The 19,680-nt window shown below is 32.3% G+C and overlaps 1 protein-coding gene across 14 annotated transcripts in view; it reads right to left on the bottom strand.

Annotated features, from left to right (window-relative positions):
* Positions 1–19,680, bottom strand: part of EPHA6 (EPH receptor A6) — a 946,939-nt gene that overhangs the window by 883,472 nt on the left and 43,787 nt on the right. For 13 of the 14 annotated variants that reach the window (XR_001740110.2, XR_924126.3, XM_017006211.2 and 10 more), the window contains exon 2: positions 11,172–11,236. Coding sequence is in view for 11 of the 14 variants with exons in the window: in XM_006713592.4 (XP_006713655.1) it covers positions 11,172–11,236 (65 nt within the window). In the remaining 3 variants the exon portion in view is untranslated. Of the gene's footprint in view, positions 1–11,171; positions 11,239–19,680 lie in introns of those variants that run through there. The other variant, XM_017006212.1, reaches the window with a different exon arrangement.

Genomic DNA, 19,680 nt, shown 5'->3' with positions numbered 1-19,680 from the left:
AGGTAAGCCTATAATTTGTTTAATTAATCACATTATTAAATCAAACTCTCTAAATTAAGAGGACAAATTTCATTTTATCCTCCCAAACATGGCCTTTAGGATGCATGAACATCCAAAGGAAAAAAAAAAAATATATATATATATATACACACACACATACTATATACACACGCAAATCCTAACTCCATGCTTTTGATGAAAGACTTCTTTAATTTCATTGAAGTATTTGCATATACATTGCTAATTATGGGGAAGAAGAAGACTAAGTTAAGCATTATATTTATTAGCACAACAGGTTTTGCTTTGCTAAAATAAAACCAAGTCAATTCATTTTAAGAATCGATTTTGCTGACTATGGTACATTAATTCAAAATACTAATGGCATGGATACAGATTACAAAAACCTATTTAACATTTAACGCCAACCTGTGTTTTTTGAAAGTTTCACTGGTTAGTATTAATTCTCTAAAATTTGCGGTCCATCTATCACTCATTAAAAATCCATATGTTCTATTTTTTATTCTCATCTTAATTACAAGGTGCAGGATTAATAACCACCTGGGGTGAATAATTCCCAGATGTGATTCAGATCATCAACTGTTCTAAACCGGTCATTAATTCTTTGAAAGTATATTATTAAGTCTTGATAGGTATTACTTAAATGGCTTATAGGCTATTTTGTAGTCTTTTTATTTTGTAGGTCAATATCTTTCCATTCCACCTTTAAACTTCTATTTTAGTGAGAGAATAGTGAGAAAATGGATTGTCTAAAATACAAAAAATGAGAGCAAATGTATACACTTTCTACCTGTACTTAAGACTAACGATGAACAAGAACACAGTTCAATTTTCACAACCATTTAGTCTTTTTTCCACAACTGATTCTGCCCAAAGTTAGTATCAAATTATTCCAGCTCCAATGAGAGTTGCAAAATATAGCCTTTAAACAATATCTTATTTAAAATAATTTGTTACATGTACATCTACTTAGCTATCCAGCCAACTTTTATTGAGCATCCCTCATATAGCACTTACTATGCCATCTACCTGACCCAGAGACACAACACCCAATCCATTACTGCAAGAGTTTACAATCTGGTAAAAGATAGACATTTAAGTATTGTGAGATAAATGCTATGATATGCACTGAGTTTCAGGTGGTCCCAGAAAAGGAGTTTCCTAATTCAACCTTTGGCAATATAAGTCTTCCAGAAAAGGCAGAAAATTTCTGTCTTAAGAGACCAATAGGAAAAAGTGAGATAGAGAAAGTGGGGGTTGGAGTGAAGAGAGATAAAAGGGAACATTCCAGATAGACATAAGCATGGTCCTATATCCAGAGACAAGAGAAAGCAAGTCATATGGAAGAAACTACCAAAAAGGTCTTTTTTGAAAAAGCTGGAAAGTGGAGGTGGCTGAAGATCAGGGAATGTTAAAGATGAAGATCAGAAGAGGCAGCTGTTGGCCACAGGTTAAACGGTAGGAAAGGAGAGGAGGGGTTTAGTAGAGTAGTGACATGGACATAAATTGATCTTCAGCTTAGAAAATCAGTTCTGGCAACAGGATGAGGGATGGGTTGGAAAGGTCAGAAGAAGGGGCTGGAGAAAGACCCAAAGCAGGTAAACAATCTAGGATGCAACTATGGTAACTTGGAGAGGAAATGATGAAGAGTCAAACTGATGATGGAGTGACAGATGAAGCTGATGATATAGGCTGATTTGAAAGAGCTTTTGAAGGTTGAATCAATAGGATTTGGTAGTTGTCTGTAGAAAATAAGAGTAAATTTATCACTTAAAATAGAAAATAATTAAATTTATAAAAATGTCTAGGCCAGGCATGGTGGCTCATGGAGGATCACTTGAGCCCAGGAGTTTGAGACCAGTCTGCACAACATAGCAAGACCTCCCCATCTCTACAAAAAAAAAAAAAATATATGTATTTTATTAATAATATGTTAGGGTTTCCTAAGATAATTTAGCATTTGTATGTGCTTGCTCTGGATTTAGATACAGATTATTTTATTTATAAATAAAATAGTTTATAAATATTTTAATGACTCTAAGTAAAACAATTAGAACTTGCTGATAAAATCAGAATCTTAGTTTATATTTTACAATATAGGAATTTATTTTAAAAGAAATAACCAGAAACTTCTCTTGGAAGTAAAGACTGAAGTTAAAGGTTTGTAAGTAACAATGAAAAAAATAAAGATAAAATGAATAAAAATAAAAATAAATAAAAGACTGTTTTATGTAAGTCAAGAAGATTTGACTTAATGAGACCCATACCTTTTAAAGATGTGTGTGTTTGTGTATGTGTGTGTGTGTAATGTGTATTATACATCTACATATTTTTACAGAAAGACATCATCATGGCTATTCATTAAAGAACAGTGGGGATACTGAAAAATGAATTCCATACATACTTATTTTTCAGCTGCCCAGAGAATACAAGGGTGATTACATATTCAGGAACATCAATAAATACTTCACATCTGATTTATTAAATCATTGTTACCTGCTTTTCTGTTACTTTTCTTCCTCACCATAGAATTTCATCATTCTACAAAACATGCTCTTTCAACTAGTGAAAAATGAGGCAGCAATACATTTTCTTTTGCAGAGGTTGCTGTACAGGAAGGAATATTCTGAGATAGTGGAGAAAGAAGTGACACAAATCATAGTTGCTCGAGTATTAAATATTTAAAAATTTAGGGACTCTATAATAAACTATGCATATTCCTTCACCTGTTTCTCTGCACTACCTGGATGTAGGGGAGGTCATTTACCCATGCATGAGCTGATAAAAGAAAGCCATCAGCTTTGGATGATTCATGTGCCTGAGTTCTCCTCAAGGAAATTCTACCTTCCACGATCTTTCATGTTTCCTGTTCTGTCTCAAAATGGTGCTGGTGTTTCACTGTTATTATTATTATTATTATAAGTACAATCTGTATTTACAATCTGGCAGCCCAGATAAAAGGAATTTAAGAAAAACTAAGAATTGGACCTGAAGATTCAGCAGAAACTTGGTCATCTCTACAGGTGCTAACTACCTTAATCTTTCCTTTCTTCATGGCTTTTCCTCTGCATCTTCTATGTTCTCCTCCTACTACTGAATGGCCTCCCTTTAGTTATTGGATTTTTTTCCTGCTCTCCTAGAACTGTTACTTGCACATGACTTCAGGTCATCAAGTCCCCCTACTCTAACCCTTCTGCATGTATCTTTCAATGTGTCTTTACGGCAGATGTTTCTGGCTGCTATTTCTCCTGAACTCTTAACATAGAAATCCTAAATTCCTAAAAGAGGAGTCTGATTGGCTTAGTCATTTATGGAAATCCCCATGAGAGGTGACAGGAGCTGGTCAGTCATTGAACTAGTTGTCTTTAGATTATGTGTCCATCTTTGTCTCAATAACATATGGGCAAGGGAGTAGGGCACCGTGTCACTAACTATAACTGGTATCCCTTAGCAAGCCCCTTGCCTGGACAATTTACTTTAGAAGACATTTTGAGAATGACAAGTACTCTATCATTTCAAATGTAATTATTTCTATAAGTTTTTTGGACTAGACTAGTCCATATTTTACACTTAATTAGCCTACAGTCAATAACAGACATGTAAAAGACACAATTATTGAGGCACAAATAAATGAAAACAATGTCTCTAAAAGAGACACACTAAAGGAATATTTCTTTAGTTCCTTTCTAAGATAATTAAATATAAAAACAATCTAAAACATGCACCAGATATTCCTAGGCTTTTAACTAAACATTTGTGAATAATTAAGCATCCTTAGTTTGATTATTAAGCTTCAAAGGAAAATTAATCTTTACAGTACTTTTCAATAACTATGTATCCTTTTAAACAAAATCGGTCTTTCTAACAACACTGTAACTAGATTAAGTCTGCTCTTGGTCAGCCTTAAGAGAGTCCTTTCACCCTTCACTGCAGTCATCACAATGTTGAAAATCAATTTGTGGTTATAGCTATACCGTAATGACTAAAGTCTTGGCTTTGGGATTGACATGACCTGTTTTAATACCAGCTTCTTTGGTCATCACAACCATGGGTAGGTTCTGAAACTCTTCTCAGGTCCAGTTTTTTCATATATAACGTGGTAATAAAAATATTTACTTCACATAAATATTATTGAGATCACGAAAAGTATGTAAAATGCTGAAATGCTGAATTGCAGTTCTTTTACAGACTCATGACACATTAATAATCTGAATATTCAGGGACAGAAATGTACATGGTTATTCTTATGAAGTCAAGACATACAGAATTAAATCTCTAAGAGCACCTGGGAGTTTCATCATCTACTGCTCAACATACATACCACAAGAAAGCTCTGAAATCTTCCTTTACCGATTTGTAAGGAAAAATAGCAACAATGTCATGTAAAGGGATAAAAGCTTGATTTATTGTTTAGATTGAATGAAGAAAATAAAGCCAATTGCTACAGATAGTGATTGATACAAAGAGAAAGTAAATATTTCAGGACCGTTCATTGCAAGAAAACAGAAGGCTAAGGAAAATTAAGTAGAATCATAATTTGTAAAACTGTTTAAGCAAATGTTGCAACCCATTACATAATGTTTGTGACAGTTGAAAACGTATTATTTTGCCTGGTCCAGCAAATAAGTAGTTTAGAATTAGCTTCTCCATTGTAACAAGTAAAAAGCTGAACAAACTGAAAAATGAACAACTCCACTTAGATCAGCGGGTAAAGCACTGCCCCAGAATTGGAGAGATGGACTGGTGGATACACAGAATCATAACTTTTTTTTTTTTTCTGAGATGAAATCTTTCTCTGTCTTCCAGGCTGAACTGCAGGGGCATGATCTTGGCTCACTGCAACCTCCACCTCCCAATTCAAGTGATTCTCCAGCCTCAGCCTCCTGAGTAGCTAGGATTACAGGTACCCACCATGCCCAGCTAATTTTTGTATTTTGAGTGAAGACGGGGTTTCACCATGTTGGCCAGGTTGGTCTCGAACTCCTGACCTCAGGTGATCCACCCACCTCGGCCTGAGAATCATAATTTAAGGAAGCAGAAACCCAACAGTTTATGTGTAATGGGAATATCAAATGGGGAAAAAAAGAGAAAGGAAGAGAGCAATATTTAAAGCAATAATGACACAGACATTGCTCCAAATTATTGTCAGGCTCCAAACCACAGATTCGGGAAGCTCAAAGAACACTAGGCAGGATAAATGCCAGAAAAACTATACCTACATATACTGTATTCAAACTTCAAAAAATATTTTCACATCAAATTTAAAAAAAAAGCAAATATAAAGAACCTTGAAAGAATCCAGAAGACTCAAACACCTTAAGAATAGAGGAGCAAGGATAAGAATTACATACAATTCATCCTCAGAAACCATGCAAGCAATAACAGTGGAGTGAAATATTTAAAGTATTTAGAGATTTGTTAAAGCCCACCAACCTGGAATTCTGTACTTTGTAAAATTTTCCCTGAAAAGTGAAGAAGATATAAAGACTTTCTCAAACAAAATTCAGAGAATGTGTTGCCAGCAGACTTACCTTGCAAGAACAAGAAATGTTAAAAAACATTCTTTGGAGAGAAGAAAAATGAAATAGGTCAGAAATTTAAATCTACATAAAGCAAGGAAGAGGAGAGGAGACAGCAACTTTGGAAGCCACCCTCCATAAACACAGGAGGCTTCTATCCTACAATGTGTTCCTTTCTGCTTGTCACAGGAGCCACAAGGAGATCTCCAGGCAATCATGAGCTCACCTGTGCTGACATGTGCTTCAACAGGGACAAGCCCCTGAAAGGAATGGTCTCAAGAAACAAACGCTGGCTTTGCAGATTGTGTTCCTCCTACTGCAAATGATTATAAGAGAAAGTTTGGGTACTTAACATGACCATCTTCAAATATGCTCAGCTATCACATAAGATTTTGTGCAGGAGGCTGTTCATTTGCAGGCTGATCTTTTAAAATATTTGACTCATCAAACCAAATGAAGAAATGTAAGAATTATGTCTCGCTTATCTATCGCTTCCAAGTGAGTATCCAGGTTTACTTTTCTTTTCTAGGGAAATGCTTTCAAGGAACTTAACACACTGGCCTTCAAATTCTATCTCCTGGTTAATTCGATTCAGCATCTTTTAAGAGGCCGTTACCACACTGAAATCTCACATCTAGGGTCAATGAGTCTTTCTATTATTACTGCCCATATTTGCTTTGGCAATTCTTGGTTATGAAGCTAACTTAATAAAATATAACATATGTTTTGATTATATATCAAGCAAACCTGGATATAGTATTCACAGCTAAAGATCATAACTAGTACTAGATCCTAAGAGGGTTCATATATTTTTGTAATGACTGACCATGTCCACCACCACTTCCAGTACACAAAATAGCATTTTTCACATAATGTGCGGTGAAAGATTAAATAAATGAGTGTACATGTATATTTTATTTATATTTAAATGAAAAAAGTACTCATTCTACATTTTTGCCTTATTAGTTAAGTAAACAAAGGCACAAAAATATAATTGTGGTTCAGAAAAAAAAATATTTGATACATGATAAAACATGATTCTGGAAAAAGCAAAGAAACAAATGGTCTATATAGAAGTCTGGATTTTTCATTTCTTTAAAATATTTGGGGTTCTTGCACTACTCCTAATGATAATATTTATGTAATGTTTATTATGAACCAGACATTGTTTTAACTTCTTTACATATATTACATAATTTCATCCTTCTAATAATCTAATGATATGAGTACTATTATCAAGTCCTTTCCCTTATGTGGATGGCAATTAACACCTCACAGCTATAAAATGTCTTACAAACATGGATATTAAAGAAATGTACACTGATAGAATTGATTAATTAACAAAACCTAATGCATTTCTTTGAAATATGGAACAATATAATTGAAATTAACATGACGGGTGTTTAGAACATTACCATATATGTTGTGAAGTTTCTAAGAAGAAAAAATATTTAAATATCAGTTTGAAAACAGTAACTATAGCACTCCATATTCACCAACAGAAATTATCACCAAAATTTACATTTTCAGAACTTGAATATGCACATGGTATAGTTTTGGATAATTTCAATTTTAGGATGAATCAAAATGTAATACTGAAATCTTCTACTATGATGAATTACTTCTTACTATATGAAATATATAAATTGCATTATAAAAACAAATGTTTATTGGTAGTTACTCCATTCTCTATCATAGTACATCCAACCTTTGATTTTCACCTTTGGAAAAATTATATTAGGAAATGATGGGCTCCGATTAATGGAATAAAGTATCTTTCTACAGAGGTTGATTGTAATCTCTGCTTCTTTTATTATAAAAATAAAAATCATTAGTTGTTAGGTTTACTTACAGCTTTTATTTACACATGAATGACATGTTTATTTTCCTAACTGTGATGGTTAATTTTATGTATCAACATGACTAGGCTAAAGATAACTGCTAAAACATTATTTCCAGATAACTGCTAAAACATTATTTCCAGGTGTGTGTGTAAGGATGTTTCTGGAAGAGCTTAGTATTTGAATCAATAGATAAATTAAAGAATATCTGCCCTTCCTCACTAATGTAACTTGACCTCATCCAATCCACTGAAGTGGAGATAGAATGAGAAAGATGTAGAAAGGACAAATTTGCTCCTTCTTCTTAAGCTGCGACATCTGTCTTCTCCCGCCTTTAGAAATCAGAGCTCCTCGTTCTTGGGTCTTCAGACTTGGGAACTGATGTCAGTACCCACTCCCCGGGCCTTTGGACTAGGACTAAATTACACCACCAACTTTCCTCGTTCTTCAGTTTGTAGATCATGGGATTTCATGTCCTCCATAATCATGTGAGCCAATTCCCAAAATAAATCTAAATCTCTCTCTCATTAGGTAGAAAAACAGATATAGATATGTGTAACAGATACAGATATATTTCCTATTAGTTCTTTTTCTCTAAAGAACCATGACCAATACATGAAGTATTTCAGGGTAAGTTTCCTAATACCAATTCACTATGTCCAACAGATAAGATCACATATCTTGTACTATATTGCATTGCTGAAGCCCTAGTGATCATCTAAGTCAGAGCACACAAAAATTATCTATAAAATATGATATTCAAAACCAATATTCAGTATTAGAGAAACACAAAGATTTCTAATCTCCAATTGCCATTAAAATAAAATGTGATGTAACATCCAACAGCACTTTTGTTTTCCTAACATCAATTTTGTCTTAATGTTTAATTAACAGGTACTCCACTGTTGAAAATGATATCTGATTTTATATACTATAGTGGCTATATCTAAGTCCAATACAACTATGTAACAAAGATCTCATCCACTATGTACACATTAAACATAGGTTTTAAAAGTTAACTTACTGATGCAGAGATATGCACTATCTACCTCAACTTAGTGAAATTCTAAGTCTTGCAAAATGTGGTTTAGCCTATGATTACAGGTCCTATTTCTCACTGTATACCTCCACTCCAGCCAAATGATTATTTCCACTGCAACCCTACAGGCCAAATGATTCTCAGCATTCCTAAAACCTGATACATACATGAAATAATTCTGTGCCTTTGCTCAAGCCACTCCTTTCGCCTAGAAGTTGCCTTCTCCCTTTTTTTTCAAGGCCAATTCCTTCACGTTTTTTTTTTTTTTGAAAGAGCTGACATGCAACTTCTTATTCCCAATTTTCCTTGACCAGAATTAACCTCTCCTTTTATTATTCTTTCACAAAACATTACTCAGAACAACCTGAAGACACATTCTTTGGCCTAGTGATTCTGTATAATTATCGCTGTGCTTCAATACCCCTTGAGGGTAGAAAAATCTGTCTTAGGCACAATAACAGGGTATTTGGCATAGAGCAGCATAAAACAGAAGTTTGTTAAATTGAATTCAGGACAATGCTTAAAAGAAAAAGTATATTTTAAATGTTGGCACAAATGAATTGATAAGCAAGTGTTTTAGAAAATTCATAATTCTCTTTTCATTTCTGTAAGCCTAAAACGTTATTTGTTCAGACTATTCATCCTTTTTCCATAATTACTAACCACCAGAGATGCTCAATTTTCCACTGAAATGACTATTTATCAGTCTGTTCACAGGCACACTCTGAATGCCTAATTCTGTAACTATATCAGCATGATATTACTAGTGGAATGATGAATTTAAGTAAAAAGAAAAATCTATGGAATCAATGATTAAATTACCTATATTTTATGTAGCACATTATACAATTTCAAAAATGTCAATTCTTTATAGGAAGAGTTTTTTTCAATTAAAAAGTTATTCCTGAGAAATACATTATTTATAATACCAAACATACTTTACCTCATATATTGCCAATTATATTGTCTACATGTCTCTTCCACCCATGACATATTTGTAAAATCAATTGAATTAGTGTCTATGTAAAAGTGTAATTGTTAAAATGGTCAATCAAATGAGCATGCCTCAGTGAAACTGAGTACCTGAAAAATTTATATGATTTCAACTGGATATAATTACAATTTTAATGTTTCGATATAAATGCTGGTTTACATGTTATAAACTGATTAATGGTTCTGGTGGATTTTAAGTACTGTAACCTATATTGATACCTAGATTATTTTCATTCTTGGCATTTTCAGTAGCCTCTTTCCCAAGTTCTTCATCCTTACTGAATAGTTCCTTATTTTAACCTATAAATAGCATTAAGTAAAGCTCCATTAGTACCAGTAATCTATCCTCTTCACTAAAAAAGAAAAAATAAATAAATTGCATATTTTTAAAATCTTATTTATACCACCTATCCATTCTACTGTTCATAAGATTAGACACACACACACACACACACACTCTGTCTCTCTCTCTCTCACACACACACACACACGCACACACACAAAAGGTATTTTAGAAAAGTTTCATTCATTTCTTAAAAGTAAAAACATGACCCACTTAATATACTCAACAATACGAATGTTTATTCATTTTAATGGAAATAAGACAATGAAGATAAAAGCATAATCCTAGTTTAAGATATATACCTCAGAAACAGTTTGATAAGAGCTCTAGTAGAATAAACAAAAATTTCAGAAAAATAAACTCGCAGTATATAAAACTTACAAATTTAAAGAAGCAAATGGGCTGTTAAAGAGAGGAAGATTTCACTCTTCATAGGATATTTTAGTTGAAAATACACACTTAGTGAATAACTGTTGTTGTAAAATGTCAAATTCAAACAGCAATATGTGAAAGATTCTAAAAGAATAAAACATATTTGGATCAATTTCTCCTTTGAGGTTTAAATTTGAAGATATAATAGAAGAAGCAATGTGAAAATGTCAACTAAGAATGTGATTAATAAGAAAATTACCATTTCTAAGGAAAAAAAGGAAAGCTAACCCAAGTGTATCTGAAAACATGTGACTGCCTCTATTATTCAATATTTTGATTAACTAGACAAAAATCAAAGCAAAATGCTTTAGAAACCACCCTTTTATTTTAGCTCAGTGTGAAAATGAGAAGTAGACATATATTGTAATATGAAAATGATGCAAAATATATAAAAATATATAAAAAGTCAAGTACAACCATAGCTAAAATGTTGGTCCATGAAAAACTATATTTTGCAAATTACACATCCTTAACAAGCCTTTAAATACAACTATTTCAGTTAACAAAAACCTAATCACCTTGTATATTTTCACCAAGTTCAAAAATGCATAATATTTTAGTAGACTTGTATTCTGTATTAAAAACCAAATTGTTAATATTTGCACAATCCATTTATACTACAGTAGTTTAAAGTTTATTTATGCACAAATACTCATCGAGGTTATCAAATTTAACATAAATGTAACATATATAAACTTACACACAGAAATTTATATTTAAGGAAAATATTTATATGGGAGATATTCTAATGTCACTATGTATAAACACAGTATTAAAGAATAATTACTAATTTAGGAGAGAGGAAGGAGCTTTACATATCATTCCCACTGATTACCAGTTCTAATTGTATTTTAACCTTTTCTATGGGATGTAAGTTATATGTCAAAATTCATAACAAGTAGGGCCCAAAATTCACTGTTCCATCAACTATTAGGAGATCTTAAAAATCTAAAAAAGACAGCAATTTTTCAGATATTTAAACTTACCCCATTTAATGGATATGTTTTCCATCCTAGCTCTCCCAGTACAGTTGTTGTATCAAGCAACACAACTGGAATTAAATAGAAAATAAAAATTCCATGAATTTCTCAACTAATGCAAAAATATATTAAATTATTAAAGTTATAATAAAAATCATTAATGTCAATTACACTTACTATTATTCACTGAATTAAGTTTAATGAGTTATCTTCAGAAATTTACATATTAAATATTAATATAAAATAGTATTAAGTAATGATAAAATGCATAAAGTATTTAGAAATTAAAGTATGTATATTTTTGTTAAACAATGCTAAATGAAATTATTAAACAGAATTAAGTCTTTTTAATAGCAGATGTTTAAAACTGATAAAATAACTACCTTTGCTTTTCCCCCACTTTCATTTACAGTATTTTTAGACCACATTCAGGAAGAAAATCCTGTATTAAAGCAGATTTCTTGATTCTCTTTTTGTGCTATTAAATGTCCTTATATATTATCAGCCAAGTATTAAAAAAACTCATTTTGAAAAATCTTATAATCTTTAAAGCACTGACTACATTATTATTATATACACTAGGTAGTTTACTTATGGCTATAAGATGCGAAACCAAACGTAAAAACCATCTATCTCTTTTCCTGACCAAAAGTAATTCATAATCTTGTCAAAAAAGCAGACATGTAAACACATAACAACATTTTCTGTTAAGTTATAAAAGTGAAGATTATATTAACATCTTAGCAATTAAGTTAAGCTAAAGTTGGGTTGGCAGTTCTGGGAGAACTTCACAAACGGGATCCAATTTGAACTGGTCTAGGATGAGGGGGTTTCAATCAGATATGATAAGATTTTTTTTTATTTTAGAATACTTTCTATAAACTAACTGAAATATGACTAAATCAGTTCTCAGTTGTAGGGGTGGAGACTACTTGGGGAAAGTTAGATGATAGAAACGATTGGGAAAGACAGATGGAGATCAACTAAGGAGGGTTTTTGTAGCGTTTCTGGCAGGTAAATGTGGACAGCTCATGATTCAGCAGATATTTATTTTTAACTACTACCTCCTAGGCCTCCAGATGTCAGTAGGCCATGAACCTCACTCTGAGAAACAATGCTTTGGTACCACATCATTAATTTTGGTTTTTCATCTTGTTAAGGAAGTGAGATTTCTTTTTCCTTTTTTTTTTTTTTTTTTTTTGTTTGTTTTTTAAAGAGACAGGTCTTGCTCTGTTGCCCAGGTTGGAGTTCACTGGCACAATCATACTCACTGAAGCTTTGAACTCCTAGACTCAAGGCGATCCCCCTGCCTCAGCCTTCTGAGTAGCTGGGACTACAGGCACGCACCACTGTGCCCAGCTAATTTTTTCATTTATTGTAGAGACAAGGTCTTACTATGCTATGCAGACAGGTCTTGAACTCCTGGCCTCAAGTGACCCTCCCACCTTGACCTCCCAAAGTGCTGGGATTACAGGTGTGAGCCAAGGCACCTGGCTGGGGGTTTCTCATCTATAATTTTTTAAAATGCAATTGTGAGTATGTTATTTGGCACCTGCTGTTTGGTGTCTACTCTAAAGATTCTGAGGTTTTACTTAGGTGAACCACTGTGATAAATTTTATTGATACATTTTTCAGATATGAAAGTATCCTTAAATTCCTGGGTTAAACTCTACTTACTCATTGCAGAATATTCCTTTAGTATTGTTAAAATCTATTCACTAAACATACATTTGTAAAACTAAGTCATAAATTTTAATCAATTTTTATTGTGAGAAATTTTCAAATACTTTTTGAAGTAGTAAAAAACAGTACAATGAACCCTCACATACTCATCACTCAGGTTCAATAATTACCAATTAATGTCCAATCTTGTTTCTTGTATACATTTTTACCTACTTCCCCACTATAAGATTTCATTTGAAGTAAATTTCAGGAATCTTATCATTTCACCTGTATAAAAATTCAACATGTATTTCCAAAATACTCTTTTAATATACTTACAATATCTTAATTCATTAATATAAAAATTCCTTAATGCAATGACATATCCAGACAGTGTTCAATATTCTTTATTGTCTCATTTGAAAAGAAGCCGAGATTCAAATAAATGCTAATAAGTTAGTTGGCATTCCTGTTTAAGTGTTTTTTTTAAATCTATAAGTTTCCCCATGTCTTATCAGTTAGATTTATTAAAATTTGTTTGACTCACAACAAATCCACCCTCTTTAAATGTACATTTTTGTAAATCATGACAAACTCCTACATCCATGGAACCATGGCTACAATCAAGCTAGAGAATACGTCCATTACCCTCCCAAAATTTCTTGTGGCCCTTTATAAGAAATCCCTTTCCTACCCCATCCTCTGGTAACCACTAATCTGATTTCTTTCCCTGTAGCTTTGTCTTTTCCAGAGTGTCAAATAAATGAAATCATATAGCATGTAGCCTTTTGAGCCTGGTTTCCTTACTTCACATATGCATTTGAGATCCATCTATGTCACTGCATGTTTCAACTGTTCCTTTTTGTTGCTGAAACCTATTCCACTGTATGGAATTCCCTAGTTGATGGACATCTGGGCTATTTCCAGTTAAGAACATTATACATAGGCCACCCTAAGCTTTCCTATACAGATTTTTTATATGAACCTATGCTTTTATTTCTCCAGGGTTAATAACAAGGAGTAAGATTAGTGGGTTATACAGAAAATGTTTGTTTTTTAAATAAACTATCCATCTGGATTCCAAAACTGACTGCTGTGAAATTTTAGATTCACAATAGGGAAATGTATGGTTTTCCCATTCCTGTACAAACCAGGACTTGGTTTTGTCCAGTTTTTTAAAGTCATTCTATCAGGTGTGCAACAGTAACTCATTATTGTTTTAATATGTACTTCACTTAATGGAGAGAAACATCAGTATTTCTTATGGTGATTTTTAAATGTTCATAAGTTTTATTCTAATTTTCTCATCAAAGATTTCTGCAGAAAATTCACTGGTACAACCTACAAATCACAACATTCAAATCAAGGCTTTCATTAGAGCTAAGTGTCTAAAATCTCTAATGCGTATTGAAATCTATCAACAGCTATTTCCTTTTTATAAGTTTTATATAGGAATTATGACCAATAAGTTAATTCATTAATTCATTTAATTATTGTTTCTAAAACATATTAAGCCTGCTTTGTTCTCAGTATTCATAGTTGTAAACTGTGAAGTATATTCACTTCAAAACAAGTAAAAAAGGAAAATATGTATGTACCTATTATAGTGCAAATGCTTAGAAAACATTTTTTGTTGTTTCTTAGTATCTTCCAGAAACAAGATTGACCTAACTGCTTTATTTGATTAAATTGCAATGATACCTCTTAAAAATTCTTTAAAAAAATAAGATTCCAAATTTGCATTTCAGACAGGTGAATTATATTTCAATATTAAAATAAAATTTAGAATTTTAGAGATATGTAGTAAATATTTTAATTTTATCATTTGTTTCACATACAAAACCCCCACAAATTCAGGTTTTTCAGGCACACTAATTACGTTGAACACAGCAAGGTGAGAGCTCCTCCTGCTGGCTCCAAACAAAAGTTACCTAGTCCCTACCAGACAGCAAAAACACTGTAAACTCAGTAGGAAGAAAAAAAATTACATCAGCATTAACATCAGTAAAAAAGCCAATACTTTTCCATTTTTAATATAATAGCAATGTTTAAATAGGAAGATTAACACCTATTATTTATGTAAAGAGTACAAATGAAAATACAATTATTTATTCATAGCATAAATTGAGAAATTGAATAAAACAAAAAAAATAGCCTGGGGGCAATAAAATAAAGTTCTAAAAATACACATTTTGTTTTGTAAGCAACATAATGCATAGAATGTGTCTGTGTAACTGCATACAATTTTCCTATTAACTTTTAGAAAAAAATTTTCAGCATATTATATTTCTTTCTGAACATGTCTTTTAGTGTATTAGAGTTGCCTTTATTCATGCTTTTGGAAATTATAAGAAAATTTCATAATGTTTTAAAAGACAATATCAAATGATAAACACAAATTTAATAGTACTGGATTAAATCTGAAAGTTATGATTACCTAAGAATAAAAAGCTAAATATTAACTTCTTGCCTTTAAATATTTTATCAAGTCTTTATCTACATCATTTCAGTAAATCTAAAAGGTATTAGTTTAAAAACAATTAGCATATTGATTTATAGTATATAATAGAAGATCATCTTTATTCAGATAGCACAGTAAGAAAAGGATGAGATTTTATTCATATATCACTTTGAAAAATTACACAAGGAAGAGATAAATCAAGCCACTAAGAAAGTAGCTATTCTTTTAGGATAATTTTGTTGTAAAAATTTAAGTCAATGTCATGTAAATTGAGTCCAAAGATTTATCAATATGTTTTAAAGTTCAGACAATCATAAATACATGTTTGAGAACTTTCTCTAACAAACCTTATGAAAAAAAAGTAAGGGGTTTCTTCCTAGAATCATTCAATTTAGAAGCTTTAAGGCCCAGCTTAAGGTTCTGAGTTACTAAGTAAAGTTACTAAGTCACTCAGTAACAGCACATCAGTAGAGGTTTATGATGGTTCTATGTTCCACTAACTGTAACACTCTACTACCTCCAATAGCTCTTAAAAAACACCAATAAACAAAGACAATACTTCTAACATCATGACCAGATACAATCAGAGAATACTTCGAATTATAGATATATAAACAAACATGTATCTTTATACGTTACATTTTAGAAGCAGTCCATTTAAATATAATACTGTTTAAATGCTTTAAACTGACATTTAGATTATCAAATTAATCCAGTTTTAACATCACTGTATATTTCTGAAAGGTAAGAACCAAAAATTTTTACTTTCAGATATATATAATATGGGTAACTACCCTCACACGGAGTTGCAACCATATTTAATTCTGAAAAAAATCTAACATAGATTGCTTTAAATCAACACTGAATTATGTTGACTCCTGGTATGGTCCTCTCTGTACTTGGAATATTTTAAGATAAAATCTTCTAAAGAGGATCATACTTTCTTAAAAACAACAAAGCTACTTTTATCTAGAACCTGAGATCAATTATTTGTTTAGTAGGTGTACTTACAGCATTTTGTTTTGTTGTGGTGGTTATTCTTATTTTTTGTGGTTTTTGCTTGTTTCCATGTTTTTAACATAGAGGGTGTTCATTATTTTAATTTTATCTATCCCTTCAGTTACATCTGAGATTGGAAATTCTATTTGTAAGTATAAGGTAATATGAACATAGTGATGTTAGCTTTTTCTAATTAGAGAATAAAATCAAGTCTAGAACTTTTGAAATTACACCTTTCAGTTTTCTACTCTGCTAGAGAGTATCTTTTTCAGAAAACATTCAAATATCTCTGTCCCTTCTTAAAAATAGATGATTCCCTTAGTTACTAAAATAAGGTATAAAAATAAAAAATTACTTTTCTTCACTGTTATCTTAAATAGAAAAAAAAGGGCAAAACACTCAAGCTATATAATTTTCTACCTAACTAAATTACTTTCAGGATAAATCAAGTGAAGCAGTTTGCTATTACTTAGAAAGCAAGTTATACTCTAGAGCAAGAACTATCACTGAAAACCTTATCCAAATAATGAATGGTTAATAGTTGATTAAAATATTACTAGAAATGTTCATCTTGACTTTCATACCTTCTTATTTCACTCATTCCAAGAACCTCCAGATCCTTATCCTGACTGACAGAGCTATATTTGCTTCAGCCTTATAATCATTCCTAAAACCTGCTATTACCAGCACTTACCACAGAGACCAAAGGATAACTCGGGTGTGGATGTGATCTATCACAAGGTCACCAAACTACAGGTTCCCTCCTGGGCTCCTGAGCAAGGTCATTGATATTTATTAATGAGTTACCTCAAAAGTTGTGCTTTCCTATAAAATTGTTCTGTTATCTGTGTGGTTAAAAATGAGTAAAAGAAAATTTGGCATGTCCCTAATTAATAGCAATTAGATGCTTCCTCTATTTTGACATCTTCAGCACTTCGTAAGCAAATTCAGTTGAGACCTATATTATTTACATTTGTCTCAATTACTCAGGGATTAAATAGGTAGAAAAGACTATTTGGCTATAGTCTTAGATTTTCTAGTCTTATATTTAATAAATGTTGCGAGTCTCTCATCTCTCACAAAGAAGTGCCCCATTTAGCTCAAACCATTGAACATGTTCCCCATTGCTTACACAGCATCAAACATGTGTCTTGCCTTTCTAGTTCTAACCTTTCTTATGTTCCCACTAGTCTTTTATGGGCTTTGGACATTTTCCAATTTTTTGAAGAATATTATGAAACTTAAGGTCTGAAATACACTTAAATCATTGGTTTAATGGTCCTGATAAAAGAGATTATAACTACTTACTTGTAAGTTATATCTACAATATAATGGCCATCTCAATCCAAAACCATTTCTATATAATGGAAGAAAGGTCTAAAAGAAACTACTGAAACCGTTACTTTAAAAAAAAATAACAGTGGCTTTATATTGGAAAGGAAAAAAATAACTTTGAGTCTGTGAAAAAAATTATGAGAATGAAAGTTTAGTCTTTTTTCTTGAAGATGGGAAAATTTTTCTTCCTGCAGTTTTGTTTGTTCCCTCCATTACATTTACATGGACATAATGAAAATAGATGTTAACTTCCCTAACTAGGACCTAAGCAGTCAAGAAATGTTACCTGATTTTACATCATACATTTTGATGTTATTTCAACAAACATTTCTTAAGTCTCTGTTATATTTAAACTCTATATATTGGACGCTATAGGATATAGAAAGTCTGTAAGTTACAATGCCTACCTTCAAGGTATACCAGTTTTCTACTTTAACTTTCACTACTAGGATTTTTGTGTCAACTCACATGCCATAGTTTATAGCATATATAGCAGAACAGATTAAAATGCCCTCATTTAGAAGGTGCAGACAAAAAATGACTGCAGCTATTTAGTAGACTGTGTAGTTTAAATTGCTCTTCTAAAAGGGCAGACATCCCATATCACATCTTCAAAATCACCATCAAAATTGTCAGTAATTGTACCACTTATCACACTTTTCATAAATGTGCCAAGGACTAAATGCATCCCAGTAGACAACAGAAAGGGAAATAATTTCCTACCTGTAGGATACTCTCCAAAACAATCCCAAATACAGGAAATGTCTGCTAAATTTGTCCAAAGAGATATTGTTTTACATAGAGTGGGAGATGTTTTAAAAATGAATTAAACAAGCCTAAGCAACATACCAAGACCCTATCTCTACAAATTAAAAATTAAAAAATTAAAATTAGCCAGGTGTGGTTGTGTGTGCCTGTAATCCCAGTTACTCAGGAGGCTGAGATGAGAGTATCGCTTGAGCCCAGGAGTTCTAGGCTGCAGCAAGCCATGATTGCACCACTACACTCCAGTCTGAGTGACAGAACAAGACCCTGTCTCAAAAAAAAAAAAAAAATTAACCATTATCAGAGGTAAACACTTTAGTAATCTAACCTTTAGTCATCAGAAATAAGAAATTATCAGATAAAAATTTTAATTGTGCTGCCATAATTTTGAAACAAATACATATTAAACAACTTAAAATTAAAGAATTCTTTTGTCCATTGACATTACAGCCAAATCAAGACAGCACAATTATAACTATTACTTTAACATGTGTGTGAGTGTGTGTTGGGGGGGTGTTTGTGGGTATCTGTTGAAGAAAATGAATGAATGAGGTAATCAAAAGGGATCATGAGCAAGAAATGTATGTCTTAGAAAAGAACATTCTTAACCAACTATTGGAAAAGCAGTATAGTGTAAGCAGGAAGGCAGGTGCTGGATAAAATTTAAACGGCTACTGTACTTGGTTTGCGATGGAAAAAGTCAAGGCCTATTTACATATGATCTTCTGAGATGTAGTTAAGAGGCAAAGTGGTCTCTAGAAAAAATAAAATCGAAGTGGACATTTGTTTTGAGCACAGAATGGGTTATGACAAAACACACATTTGTATCTTTTGGAGTCGTCTTCTCTGCTCCAGCTTGGCCCCAACCCCTGAAGCACTGACTGCCCTCAGACTGCTCACTCTCAGTCCAAACCCTGGACATCTATCCCCATTTCTGACTGTGTACAGTGTTCAAATTATCCCCCCTACTATCTGATAACCAACATCCATCATACGAAGAAAACAATTTAACTGAAATAGCATACAAATATGCTTATGAATAATCATTTCTTCTCTTCCCTTTTGCATTATTTATTTATCCAAGTTAAATTTGAATTGATAACAGCGCCTTTCAGGTAACACTGACTTGGGACTTTTTCATGGCATACCTAATATCACGACACACAAGCAATTTTTCACAGAAATATATTGAAAGAGACTTCCTAAATCTCCAACTTCTATCATGTCCCAAGAAACTTCCCACTGTTTAGATTACATCTTTTCCTATCTGCTTCCTGGGTTCTATACTTTGCT

The sequence above is a fragment of the Homo sapiens genome, chromosome 3 (assembly GCF_000001405.40).
Source record: "Homo sapiens chromosome 3, GRCh38.p14 Primary Assembly".
Lineage (NCBI taxonomy): Eukaryota > Metazoa > Chordata > Mammalia > Primates > Hominidae > Homo > Homo sapiens.
The sequence above is the reverse complement of the archived record's forward strand: the minus strand, read 5'-3'. Positions and strand labels throughout refer to the sequence as shown.